This window comes from Homo sapiens, chromosome 21 (assembly GCF_000001405.40).
Source record: "Homo sapiens chromosome 21, GRCh38.p14 Primary Assembly".
Taxonomy (NCBI): Eukaryota; Metazoa; Chordata; class Mammalia; order Primates; family Hominidae; genus Homo; species Homo sapiens.
In genome coordinates, this window is record NC_000021.9 from 15,225,326 (window position 1) to 15,240,669 (window position 15,344).

Sequence of the window (15,344 nt, forward strand, 5' to 3'; positions counted from 1 at the left end):
ATAGAATGGAAAAACCAAATAGTGTCATCAAACCATTCCATTAGACTTTCAGTTAATAACTGGCAGTAACAAAGTTCTCCTCAGGAAAATTAACAGTGATATTTAAGCAGGGCCATTTCTGTGATCAGAGCTATGTAAAAAATCAAGAGAAGAAAATGAGATTTAAAAAAAGTAGTTCCTGGAAAACATGGATAATTTATTATCATTTTATTGTGAGACAATTAACAAATTAAATTATAGAAGTCAAATCCTAAAAGAGAAATACGTTTTATAGCATTTTTTTTCTTTGTTTTTTTGAGATGGAGTCTTGCTCTTGTTACCCAGGCTGGAGTGCAATGGCACGGTCTCGGCTCACTGCAACCTCCACCTCCCGGGTTCCAGCAATTCTCCTGCGTCAGCCTCCCGAGTAGCTAGGATTACAGGCACCCGCCACCATACCTGGCTAATTTTTTTTTAATTTTTAGTAGAGATGGGGTTTCACCATGTTGGCCAGGCTGGTCTTGAACTCCTAACCTGAAGTGATTTGCCTGCCTCAGCCTCCCAAAGTGCTGGGATTACAGGTATGAGCCACCATGCCTGGCCCATTTAATATCTTTAAATATAAAAATAAAGACTAGTTTCTGTGACTTGTTATAGAAGATATTGAGAAGAATGTAAAGTTGTTCAAGATGATGCAAAACTACCTTTTAAAAAAGGGAAAAGTGAAAATATGGTAATATTGCTATTGTGAAAACTACTGTAGAAGTAACCACTACATAGATTTGCATTTTTCATATCTAAAAAAAGAAAAGAAGAAAATTGAATTTTGTCTGATTGCTGCCTTTAACATCCAGGGTTGAGTCTGTCACTACTACATGGATAGAAATGCGTCTGTTTTTTTCTCCAATATTCTTGTTAGAAAATCGTGGGATTCCTAATGGGTATTTTCCCTCCTCTGGCAGATCACTTTTTATTATTGCTTCTATTTAGAAATGAAGAACTGGTAGAGATGGGCATACAGGTGTAAGATTGTGGCACAAATCCTGAATGCCATAATTTGTGATTTCCCCACAATCTCACTGATCCACTGCTTGCAGTGTCTGGTTATGGTTTCTCTCCTGGAATCTGACCCATGCTTTTACTCAACAGAGGTCACCTCAAAGGAGGCTGGTCTGTCTGCCCCCTAGTTTTCCAGATGCTAATCATGCTGCCATTAAAATTGTGCTTCAAGGTAACTTTAATTCATTACTTTCCGCATTGCTTTTAGTCATGTCGGTTCAGATAAGCGCACCATTGTGCTATGTCTTGGAAATCTGGCATCACCAATTCTTCCCACATCTTCATCTCAGTGCAGCCGAGGTGCAATAAGCATTTCTTGCTTTAATGCTGGTATGTCAGGTACTTAACATTGAATCACCTGTGAGCAATCTGTGTTTTAAGGAGCTTTCCTGGTGATTTTAGATATGCTAAGGTTTGAGAACCACTGGTTTAGGTAATTAATAAAAACTGATGTAACAGACAAATCTCAATAGCCTAATACGACAAAGTCTTCTTTCTTGCTTGCATCACCATCTAACATGGGTCAGATAGGCTCCCTCTATCTTGTAGTTAAGATAACTTGTTTTCTTTTCCTATGGAGAAAATTACTTTAGTAATTATAAAAGTAGTACATGCTTATTATAAAAAATTTGAAAGACATGAAGTTGTAAATAATAAAATAAAATCACCTATGATTTCAATGTTTAGATTAATAATGTCTATTAATATCTTGGTGCCTTTGCTTTCTTCTCTCGAACACTTGGCTTTCAAGTTGCTAAGGAAGGGAAACAAATCCAAGGGATTGTTTGGGAAGAGGTTATGGGGCAGGCTCGGGAATGGCTTACATCCTTTCTGCTAGAATTCAGTAACATCAGTGACATCACTGCACCATACTGCAAGGAAGGCTGGGAAATGTAGAGCATCACATGGTTATTTTTGAGAGTTAATATCTGCCACAAACAGGATCAGAGAAACATTAGGTTACTTCCACCAGGCAGACAGGTTGTTTTGATTTTTCATTTTATTATTATTATTTATTTATTTATTTTTAACTTTTTTGAGTTTTGCTCTTGTCGCCCAGGCTGGAGTACAGTGGCACAATCTCACTCACTGCGACATCTGCCTCCCAGGTTCACACAATTCTTGTGTCTCAGCCTCCTGAGTAGCTGGGACTACAGACATGCTCCACTACGGCTGGCTAATTTTTGTTTTTTGGGTATTCTTAGTACAGATGGGGTTTCACCATGTTGGCCAGGCTGGTCTCAAACTCCTGACCTCAAGTGATCCCCCCACCTCAGCCTCCCAAAGTGCTGGGATTACAGGCATGAGCCACTGCACCCCGCTTCGATTTATATTTTTATAGCATCCATGGACCCTTGGTGCTGAATCATCTTGAAAGCCTTCTTCCTGCTCATATTTGACTGACTAGCATAGGGTCTCTATTTGTCTTTGAGATTTTTTCTGAATCTATTTGTGTCCAGGCTAGGGCCACACAAGACACAGACATAGACATACATACACAGCTATGCATGTATAAATATAAAAATAAAAGGGCTAGCTCAAGATGTTCTGAAGTGTAGAAATTATACTGAAGGGTAGTATCACTCAAGCTATCCTCTTCCCACTCTTGATTACATTCCCCCAGAGGTACCAACTTTGAACCACATGTAAAGCTGGTATTTAACTCCGTAACTCTCAATGAAGTCATAAATTCCAATCTCGTAGAGGCTGGGCAGGTAATGTAAGCAGAGAAAGCAGAGTAGGAGATACATAGCTATGAGATTGAGGATTTATGGTCAATGGAATAGCATAGTCTCCACCCAAAGGAAACGGTATGCTAGCTCTGGCCAATTGCTCCCATGTATGAAGGCAACCTCAGTGTTGCTAGATTTTTCTTTCAATTATTTTTCTTTAGGAAAACTAGAAATCTAGATGTTTTGGTTAAGTTTCTTAATTTTTTTTTACAACCATTGCCTAAGAAATAAAAGACAAATGAAAAGGATCTCTTTTGCAGAATTGGCCTGTACATGCAAGCCCTGTGCTAAACCACACACTCACACATCTATTATATATGTGTGTGTGTGTGTGTGTGTGTGTGTGTGTGTGTGTGTGTGTTTGAGACAGGGTCTCACTCTGTCATCCAGGCTGAAGTGCAGTGGTACAATCATGGCTCACTGCAGCCTCAATCTGCTGGGTTCATGTGATCTTCACATCTCAGCCTCCTGAGTAGCTGAGACTACAGATGTGTACCACCATGCCCAGTTAATATTTCAAATTTATATTATGTAGAGACAGGGTCTTACTATGTTGCCCTGGCTGGTCTCAAACTCTTGGGATCAAGTGATCCTTCCGTCTCAGCCTCCCAAAGTGCTGGGATTACAGGCATGAGACACTGTGCCAGCCCACACCTCTATTTGGCATTTAACAACTTAAAATTGCTTAACAATTTAAACCCCAGAATTTACAACTTAAAATACCTTATTTTTCCATATAGAAATTGATGAATTTGCTGACCTATACTCTCTCCTTATTTCTACTTTATTTTTCCCACTGAATTTTTTATTAATCATATTATTATTACTATTATTATTATTTTGAGATGGAGTCTCGCTCTGTCGCCCAGGCTGGAGTGCAATGGTGTGATCTCGGCTCACTGCAACCTCTGCCTCCCGGGTTCAAGCAATTCTCCTGCCTCAGCCTGCCAAGCAGCTAGGACTACAGGTGCACGCCACCACACCCAGCTAATTTTTGTATTTTTAGTGGAGACCGGGTTTCGCCATGTTGGCCAGGGTGGTCTCGATCTCCTGACCTCATGATCTGCCCGCCTTGGCCTCCCAAAGTGCTGGGATTACAGGTGTGAGCCACTGAGCCCGGCCATTAATCATATTATTATTATTAAACGTTATTTTTTGTTTATCAAAGTTGACATTAACTCCTTATGTCCATTTTTAGGATAAGAAAATTAGCACTCCTCCACATTTTTCTCCTCCTTCTGCTCCATACCTTTATGGATCTATTAGGTATGGCATTATTTGAACTTGATTAAGTTTACACTCTTTAAATTTCAGACTAACACGGCTAATTAAATATTTAATAATTTACATTCTAAAATTCAGAACCAATAAATATTTTCAATATTACAGTTACAGTAATTTAGAATCATCATGGAGCTGAGTGGAATGATGTAATGCTACTTCACTAACCTTGGTCCACTTGACAAACGATGTTCTAAGAGTGAAGGTCAAGTGGGCCTTTTTCTTTACACTCCACAAGTAGCTCAAAACATTCCACACTGCAGTCTTTGTCAGATTTGGTCCGTGGCTTCCTGATACAGGATTTTGCTCTTCTTTGAGTTTCCAGTTTTCTTTTTTAATTTCCCTATTGACAGAAGAAGCTTAAGCCTTTTATTCAGTGCCACAATAATCCCGTCTTTTAACTCTACTATATGTCAAAGTTAATCCATTTCTTCTAGAGAACATTGTAGTTAGTATCCTCTATACTCATGTTCCAGTTTTGACCATTTTTTTTTTTCTCACATGCCCCAGGTCCTACTTTGGAAAGATTACTTTTTTTTTTTTGAAATGGAGTCTTGCTCTTTTGCCCAGGCTGGAGTGGAGTGGCGCGATCTTGGCTCACTGCAACCTCTGCCTCCCTGGTTCAAGCGATTCTCCTGCCTCAGTCTCCTGAGTAGCAGGGCTTACAGGTGCCTACCAACATACGTGCCTAATTTTTGTATTTTTAGTAGAGACAGGGTTTCACCATGTTGACCAGGCTGGTCTTGAACTCCTGACCTCAGGCAATCTGCCCACCTCGGCCTCCCAAAGTGCTGGGATTACAGGCGTGAGCCACCGCGCCTGGCCTGGGAGGATTTCTTTTCATTGTACTTCTGGGTTGGTGCACTATGTCTTAGATCCCATGGCTTCTCTTTTTTTCTTGAATAATAAACACAATTCCTTTTTTTAAATTTTATTATTTTTTCATTTTATTTTATTTATTTATTTATTTTTCTTAGCAAAGGTAAGTGTGGATAACCCATTGTGTGTTTGAAAATGTCGTTATTTTACATTCACATTTTTCTTTGTCCTCAGGCTGAGAACTCAAAAGGATGTGTCTAGTTCTAGCTCTGTTTTTTATTTATTTATTTATTTTTATTTTTTTGAGATAGGGTCTCACTTTGTCGCCCAGGTTTGAGTGCAGTGGTGCAATCTCAGCTCACTGCAGCCTTGACCTCCTGAGCTCAAGTGATCTTCCCACCTCAGCCTCCCAAGCAACTGGGACTACAGTTGTGCACCACCACGCCTGGCTACTTTTTTGTGTGTTTTTTGTAGAGATGGGTTTTTCCATGTTGCCTAGGCTGGTCTCGAACTCCTTTTCTCAAGCTATCTGCCAGACTCAGCCTCCCAAAGTGCTGGGATTATAGGCATGAGCCACTTTGTCTGGCAGGATGTGTCTAGTTCTTCTTAATGCCTAGACATGGATCTTTCATCCTGTACTCCAGTTAGCATTTGGACATTTCTTTGGCTCTGGAGAATTTGGTCCTCTTTCTTCTCTGCTACCTCCATTTTCTTTAGCTTTATTTTTCTTCCTTCTATTTTGTTCTCTTCTCTTTTTCAGAAATTCCTCTTAGTTAGGGGTATTGGGCCTCCTGATCTGAGTCTCCATGTTTGTTCATTCTTCTTTCACACATATATATGTAATATATTTTAATCTTGGGGGCTTTGACTCTATGTTCTAAATTAAAATTTCTTGACTTATATCAAGTACTTTAGTTAATTTTAAGAAATTTGCCAGTTACATATTTAATTTCCAAAAGCTCTCATTTTTGAATTGCCCTATTTCCATAGTAGTCTCTCCTTGAGTGTGGGTATGTTTTGTGGGCAACATACTCCTGAATCTTTCTGAAGAGACTAATTATAATTCTGGCTAGTGAATTATTTATTTTCTCTGGGATCATTTGTTCTGTTTGTTTATTTTGGTTCTTTTTTGACCCTGACCCTCTGATTTTTCTCAAGTGAGTGTGGTTGGTTGTCCACTTAATATTATGAATGAGACTCAATTAATGAATATAAGTAGCAAGGATAGGTTTTCTGTGCTAGAAAATTATGTGTATAAAGAAGAGCAGATATATTTTATAGTGTGCAAGAGTGGGGTAAACAGGCAGGCCTTCTTCTTCTCTTTTTACCTGTAAAACTCTAGCTCAAGCTTGTCCAACCAGGCCACACGTGGCCCCAGACGGCTTTGAATGCAGCCAAACACAAATTCATAAACTTTCTTAAAAACATTCTGAGATTCTTTCTACAACTTTTTTTAAAGCTCACCAGCTATGGTTAGTGTTAATGTATTTTATGTGTGGCCCAAAACAATTCTTCTTCTTCCAATATGACTCAGGGAGCCAAAAGATTGAACACCCCTGCTCTAGCCTCTGAGTTCTCATTGAGATGGAGTTGAGAATTAACTCCAGTCCTTCTACTTGGCCAGCCCTGTGATTATTTAACTCTTTATTTGCTGAAAACACCTGCTTTCTCAGTACATTAACTTTTCTGGGCAGCAGGCAAGATGAACCCATCAGGCGATTGCACTATAGCTTCAGGACCTGGAAACCCTACCTTGTCCTTTAGTCCCTCTAGTCCCAGGAGTGGTAGAACCTTACTGCTAATGGTAACCTCTGCATTTGAATCACCAACTTCAGCTATTGGCAGTAGCCAGTTGCTTACATCTTTAGGATAATAAACCCTTTGTAGTGATTTATTTCAGTTTGGAATATCTATAAAGACATTTGTTTTCCTGATTAAACCCTGACTGACACAGTTTTATAGCCCATTCCTGTTCTCTAATCTGCTCGTTCTCAGGTTGGAGTTTCTACAGATCTTCACCAGCAGAAGGGGTCCTTTCTGAATTGCTGCATCTTTCAATGAATATTCTGTTAGGGCTATGGCTTCCTCCACCCTGAACATACATTTCATGTCTTCCCATCTTTTTACTTTTTCTTCTTATGCCCCTGCCTATTACCTCCTTTTACAATGCTGTTATAATTTATTCCCTTTTAAACATGCTTACTGTCACTTCAATGGCAGGACAGGAGGAAGAGATGGATGTGTGCACTCAGTTTATTGCCTAGCTCGAAAGTAGTGAGCTACTTTCAAGGGGTAGTTTTTTTTTTTAAGAAAACTGGATATGACAATCTGAGAATAATTTCATTTTTACTAATTTATTTACATTAAAAACAAGATTCAAAAATAATAAAATAAAAAACCCCAACAACAACAAGGTTCAATGTAATGATTATTTCTGTTGTTAAAGGCTGGAGGATTATTTTTGAACTAGGAAAAACTAAGAAAAAATTGGGGTGAATGATTTCTGTCCTACCCCTTCATCCATGGGGTAGGACAGAAGCTATGTCCTTAGATCAGAGGCTCTTCCTATGTGGCATTTCTGTGTATTGGAGCTGCCTCTCTTGAGGTTACGTGGTTTAATCTGTTATTCTGTGAACACACCAAAACTATTCAATTTGCTAATTTGGTCCTGTAGTGATTTGAGTATGTCCCTTTCATTTAGCCACTCTGTTATGACACAAACATGATTATAATATATTAAGAAAAAACATTTCTTCGGCAGATTTTCTTTAGTTCTAGTTACATTGAACTGAGAACGTCAATCTATCTGGGAAAGTGGAGAAAATTACATAATGACCAAATAAGGTGTTGATTCAATCATCCCTAATGATTTTATAGTGGCTGAAAAATAGTGGTCTAAGTTTTCAGGATTGAATCTACTACAGACTCATTCAGAAATTGACTCTGCTCAATATTGCATATTTTAAGTACCTAATAAAATGGTAACTTATAAATTTTTTAAATATGTTTTTTGTATAAGAACAATTTTGGAAAAGAACATGTATGGAATATAAAATTATTTAAGTATCTGCTCAATTGACACTCACCTCCTTTCTATGAGAAATTCACCCCTGAATGTCTCCATTTGTTCCTTTATTTATTTATTTTGTTGCAAGACCTTTGCCACTTTGACTACTATTGATTGGTCCAAGATGGACACTTGACCACTCTGAGTCAGTCAAATTCTCTCTCAAAGAACCGATACTCAGAGTCATCTAGTTTCTAAAAATGGCTGGAGATGAGCAACATGTAAAATGTCTGTGGATGCTGGACAAGCCACCCATCATCCATTATTTGGAAAGAGGCAGAGAAATGACAATGAAGAATGACAGAAACAAGAGAAGAGAAACAAAGAGACAAGAAATCATGGGGGTGGAGGGGAGGGGGAGAGAGAGACTGCAAGCCTGCTCTGGGTTCCTAACAGCTTTTATTACTGATTCCAGTTTCTTTAGAGGCATTGGATTTGTGAGGTTCACCTGAATTCTTATAATGAAATCTTTCTTTTGCTTAAGCTGAGTTGAGCTGTTCTGCTACTTGAAACCAAAAGAGCCTAAAATAAAACAGAGCACACAGCAGAACAGGGAGATTGTTACTCTCCATGTGCATGAATACAGAAATTCAGAGACTGCTGGGTTTACATCTGTGTAAAGAGAACAAATTGACTGCAATTCTAGGTTGGCCTCCAGTTATTTTTTTTCTTTATCGATACATAAGAAATACATCTTCAACAATTTGCATATTAAGTCTTCAGCAAGTATCCAATTCCTGAATATTTAGATGTACTGTATTTGGTTAAAGCCTCATAAATTTATGCTATATTTTATGTAATCTTAGGCAGTTTTGAAAAATCTCTTTCAATAATGCTGAATGAGCTTTGTAGAATGTAGCACAATATCTGGTAAATGTGTAAGTGCTCATTACTGTTGATAGTAGCAAAGACATGGAATCAAGCTACATGCCCATCCATGGTAGACTGGATATAGAAAATGTGGTACATATACACCATGGAATACTATGCAGCCATAAAAAGAATGAGAACATGTTCTTTGCAGCAACATATATGGAGCTAGAGGGCATTATCCTTAGTGAACTAACACAGGAACAGAAAACCGAATACCACATATTCTCACTTACGGGCACCTAGACATTGAGTACATATGGGCACAAAGAAGGGAACGACAGACACCAGGGGTCAACTTGAGGGTGGAACGAGAGAAGAGGGTGAGGACTGACAAACTCCCTGTTGAGTACTATGCTGATTACCTGGGTGGCAAAATATTCTATACACCAAACCCCCATGACACACAATTCACCTACATGACAAACCTGCACGTGTAGCTGTGATCCTAAAAGTTAAAAAATAGTGTAAGTGCTCATTAAATGGTTAGCTCATGTTCTCTTTCCTTCTTAAAGTAGTAGGTTTTTCATTGATTGATTGCTTCATTTGTTCAGAAAATATTTGAATACCAAGACCCATATCTAGTTCTGGGGCTATGGAGGTTTTAGTTAGACCTACAGCTAGAACTACAGAGGAGGTAGATACAGACAAATATATTCAATACTACTTGCTAAAGACTGCAATGGAGAGAAGATCAGAAATTTATAGGAGCACAGAGGAGGAGCAGCTGCTTGGCTGTGAGGGCAATGATGTCAAATTTGCCAGTTCTGCCTTTAAGCAAGTCCTTTAGGTTCTATGGCCCTCAACTTATTATATGTAAAATAAGGCTAATAAGGATTTTATCCTCAGTTTTTGTCACAGTTAAAGGTGGTAATAAAAAGGTATAGACATATATACATATATTTTTATATGGAGGGAAATGATTGGCTCATGGGGGAAGTTTCCCCCATGCTGTTCTCATGATAGCGAGTTATCATGAGATCTAATGGTTTTATAAATGGAAGTTTCCCCTGCCCTCTTCTCTTTTGCCTGCCGCCATGTACGACGTGCTTGCTTCCCCTTCAACTTCTGCCATGATTGTAAGTTTCCTGAGGCCTTCTAGCCATGCTTTCTGTTAATTCACTAATTCACTAATACTGCCTGGAGAAGTCAAAAAACAAACAAACAAAAAAACAAACAAACACACAACTAAGAGGCAGCATTTGAACTGGGTTATGCAGCATTTAGTTAGTGCTATGGGTTTTTGTAGGGAAAAATGTTCTAGAAAGAGCAAACAGCATACACAAGAGCATCTGTTTTATAGTAACATAAATTCATAGGAACACAGAGAAGAAGAAACTACTTGGTTGTGAAGGCAATGGATAAAGTGTCTTCACTTTATCTGCAGTAGGAAGAGCTTTGACAGCCCACTGCAGGCAGTGTTAGAAAGGAGTGGTTGAAGAAGCAGGTTGGGGCTGCAGAGGAGGACGATTCTCCTTAACCCTCACACAGACTCTGGAATTGTGTGAAAATAAACTGACAAAGACAGTGATATGGTTTGGCTCTGTGTCCCCACCCAAATCGCATCTGGAATTGTAATCCCCATGTGTTGAGGGAGGGAAATGACTGGATCATGGGGGCCGTTTCCCCCATGCTGTTCCCATCGTAGTGACTTATCATGAGATCTGATGGTTTTATAAATGACAGTTTCCCCTGCTGTCTTCTCTCTTGCCTGCTGCCGTGTAAGAAATGCTTGCTTCCCCTTCACCTTCCTAAAAGATTGTAAGTTTCCTGAGGCCTCCTAGCCAGGCTTCCTGTTAAGTCTGTGGATGTGTGAGTCAATTAAACCTCTTTCCTCTATAATTACCCAATCTCAGATAATATTCTTTATAGCAGTGTGAAAACAAACTAATATAGACAGATTAACAGAAGAAAAATATTCAAATATTTTTAGTATAAGGTTTCTGTGAAATAGGAGCCTTCATAAGGAAGTGAAGACCCAGAAAAACATTTAGAGTTGTATATTTTGCAAGGTTTGATGAAGAAGTGAATTGTTGTGGAGAAGTATGATGGGACAAATCAGGGTATGATGTGATGGTAATATGCTGGGGAGAACTTAGCAAAGTCTATTTGTTCAGATCCTTCTTTGTGTCCCTGTGTCTTCAGAGATGAGAACATTCCTTTCCTCAGGGAATAGGATGGGCACCTCTCACATGACGGTCTCATGATGGCTTTAGAGGAAGGTCAGAAAATCCTTTCTAGGTTTTGTGGCTTGTTTTAGGGGAGAAGGGTATAAAAACATCACAGAGAAACCTTCCTGCTTCTGCAGTTTTCTCAGATTATTTTGGGTTAAAATACTCAGTATGTCAAGACGACATATTCTGGGGCAGCCTTGATAGGGCTCAGATGGGAAGGGCCATCTCTGGAAATGGGATTTTATTCTACAGGTATTAAGAGGAAAACAGAGGTTTTCTTTTAATTAATTTTTTTATTATACTTTAAGTTCTAGGGTACATGTGCACAACGTGCAGCTTTGTTACATATGTATACATGTCCCATGTTGGTGTGCTGCAACCTTTAACTTTGATTGAGGCACTATTCGCAATAGCAAAGACTTGGAAAACAGAGGTTTTAAACAGAGGCACAACAATCAAATATGCATTTAGGAAGATAACTTGACTACTGGTGGAGAAAACACTGGAAGGAAAAAGGGAAGAAGAGCAGTTTAGAATTCTCTTAAGATAATAAGGCATCTATACCCTCTGTTTGTTTCTTAGGGATCATTAATTCTCTCAAGACTCAAAAGGCTAATAATGATTGCTGTGGAAAAATACTACTTTCCCAAAAGTGCCTATGGATTTACAGATCATCCTGAAGACAGAAGCAGAAATATGTGGGCTACAATATGAAGTAAGGAAATAAATCTTAAGTATTTTTGATTTTTTCAGAAAAATAAAAAGTACTAAAAAGTAATGTGACTTATTGAATGCAGCTATTTACAGCTGGTTGAATGGACTTATTGATCATTGCTTGATGGAGCCCAGGGCTTAAAGTTATGTAGCCAATTTGAGCAACCTATTTTATGACTACAACTGTTTGTATCCCCAAATTTCCTTCTTTTTTTTTTTTTTTGTTTTGTTTTGAGACAGGGTCTCACTCTCTCTCCCAGGCTGTAGTGCAGTGGTGTGACCTCAGCTCACCGCAACCTCCGCCTCCTGGGCTCAAGTGATTCTTCTGCCTCAGCCTCCCAAGTAGCGGAACCACAGGTGCCTGCCACCACACCAGGTTAATTTTTGTATTTTTAATAAATTTTAGTCATGTGCTTTACTTGGGTGATAGTTATAACTTCATGAGCGACGTGTCTAGTCTCAGAATGTACCACAGTTAAAGAAAAACTCAGAAACTAAAAACCTATTTCAAAATAATAAGAATGCTTTACTCTTTCTGTTTTTAGAATACCACAAAGAGAACTCAGACCCACAGCATTCATTACCTTTTAATTCCCTTTCTGCTCTTGTTTTGCACAAAGCAATTGTATCCATGCTTCTTACTTCCAAAACTCCCTTAGAGCTCCTTCCTCTGACCCAGTCTGAACTCTGTTTTTCCCCACTTCCTACCATTTTCCTACTGAACTTGCATGACAGAGGTTCAGAAGAACCTATCGGGTAAAGGAGGATTCCCATCAGATGGTAGGGGATGGGAAGAAACTAGGGTAACACTGGCAGGATCCTCTTTAGCAATAAAAGTGAGGAGGATGACTGGGACCATGAGCCATTGGACCATGGAGCACCAAGTGTGAGAAAGGGTGACCCTAGAGAAGAGGGACAAGGTGAAGTATGGAAAAAGTTGGCATACATAAGTGTGGTCTTTGGTCTGATAAACTATGTCCCACTCTAGTTTTTATATCGAGTTAATGGCAGTAAAGAGAGGGTCTGAGCTATCCATTAGATTGCACTGCATTGGAAAGGCTATGATTTTATTTTTCTTAAGTCCTTAGAAAGTGGAGATACAAAGAAGACCAAATTATAAATGAAGTAATCATAAAATAACAGCTAATATATTTACTGAGTGCTTATTAAGGGCCAGGTATTTTTTAAACATTATCTTATTTAATCCTCACACATAGCTCTGAGGTATATACATCTCCACTTTTTAGATAAGGGAACTGGGCTTTAGAAAGTTTAAATAATGGCCAGGTGCTGTGGCTCATGCCTGTAATCCCAGCACTTTGGGAGGCCAAGTAGGCCAGATCACCTGAGTTCAGGAGTTCGAGACCAGCCTGGCCAACATGGCGAAAACCCATCTCCACTAAAAGTACAAAAATTAGCCAGGCGTGGTGGCGGGCAATTGTAATCCCAGCTACTCAGGAGCCTGAGGCAGGAGAATCGCTTGAACCCAAGAGGCGAAGGTTGCAGTGAGCAGAGAGAGCGCTGAAGTTTAAATAACATGCTCAAATTGGTAGAGCGAGAATCTGAGCCTAGCATTTTTAGTCCAGAGTCCATAACTTAATAATTGGACTGAGAATTTACTGTAAACTTATCCTTCCATATTAAGTCCCAGAAATAATAGATAGAAGAGTGAAAGACTTTACAAAACACATTAATTAAAGTTATTGTGTTACTGCAAGATACTTTCTCTGAATTATTGGCATTTATAAAAATGAGACTAAAATTTTCATGAATGTGAAAATTGGCTAATCTTAGAAGGAAAGCGCTTTACTAATGGCTAACAGAATTAACTAGCAATAATAACGTCTATGGAAGAAAATGACTTTAAATACTGTTTTTCAAATGAGGAAGCATCTGTTGAACATCAACTGTACCCTGCATTTTGGAGGTCATACAAGACGTGTAAGATTTTGAACTTCAATACTAAATGATTGCTTAGGATAGTGTATATAAAGTCTCTAACATATTCCATTGCTTACAACACGTCAGTTAATATTGTTTTTTTTTTTTTTCCTTATTCTCTGTAATGAGCTTAAGATCCGGTTGGGGAAACGTGACTAACACATCTGAAATATACATAAACTAGTGAAATATAATTAGTATATGATGTAGTTTGGATATTTGTCCCTGCCCAAATCTCTTGTTGAAATGCAATCCCCAGTGTTGGAGGTGGGGCCTGGTAGGAGGTGTTTGGATCATGCGGGTGGATCCCTCATTAATGACTTAGGCCACCTCCTTGGTGATACGTGAGCTTGCTGTGTGAGTTCACAGGAGATCTGGCCATTTCAAGGTGGCACCCCTCCCATCTCTTGCTTCTACTTTGGCCGTGTGATGTGCCTACTCCCGCTTTGTCTTTCAGCATGATTATAAGCTTCCTGATGCGTCCCCAGAAGCCGAGCAGATGCTAGCCCCAAGATTCCTGTAAAGCCTGCAGAACCATGAGCCAATTAAACCTCTTTTCTTTATAAATTACCCAGTCTCAAGAATTTATTTATATAAATGCAATGCAATAATGGCCTAATACAGTGCAGTATAAGATACATGCAACATATTTATAATTATGTCCCACTCTAGTTTTCATATTGGGTTAATGGCAGTAAGAGAGGGTCTGAGCTAACTATTACATTGCATTGGAAAAGCTATGATTTTATTTTTCTTAAGTCCTTAGAAAGTGCAGATACAAAGAAGTGGAGATACTATATATATATATATATATATATATATATATATATATATATTTGAGACAGGGTCTCACTCTGTTGCAATCATGGCTCCCTGCAGCTTCAACCTCCTGGGCCCAAACAATCCTCCTGCCTCAGCCTTCCCAAGTAGCTGGAATTATGGGCATGCACCACTGCACTGGGCTAACATATATATATATATACACACATATATGTATATGTATATGGTAGAGTCAAGAGTTCTTGCAAAGTTGCCCAAACTTTAACCCCAGGGCTGAAACAACCCTCCTGCCTCAGCCTCCCAAAGGGCTGGGATTACAGGCGTGAGCCAACGTGCCCAGCCACATGCAATATTTTAAATAGAAGTGAATAGTTAGGTTAGATTTCCAAAAGGAATGGGTATTTTACAGGTTGTTAAGATTTGCTTAGGTGAAGAGTCAGGAATTTATTTTAGGAAGATGAAATAATTTGAATGTATACAAGATTAAATATGAGTTTAGGGGAATATTTAATGTATTGATACAATTGAGTTAGACTCTTTAAAACTGAAAAAAAAATTCATAAACTTCCAGCAAAATGATAAGATTTTAAATCTTTTGACTAATTTGGGTTAAGCAGTATAATCATGATGAATGTCTTGGTAGCATATTATCCCAAGTGAATTAAGCATTATGACTGGTGACATCTGACCCCAGGAGCTTTTGAGACAAAACAAGGGGACATATCAAATGTCTGGTTTTACTCCAAAAAAACTTCAGAGTCTGGCTAAAGGCAAGTATTTTAAACATGTTTCTTAGGATAACAGCCCAGGTTTTAGGACTCTTCCAAGTCATTTGGAGAAGAGACTGTTAAATTAGAAACATCAGCTTTAGGTCTATCTGATCAGGTATTAATTTGTCCTTACAAATGAAGGTTTTTCTCCTTGTGG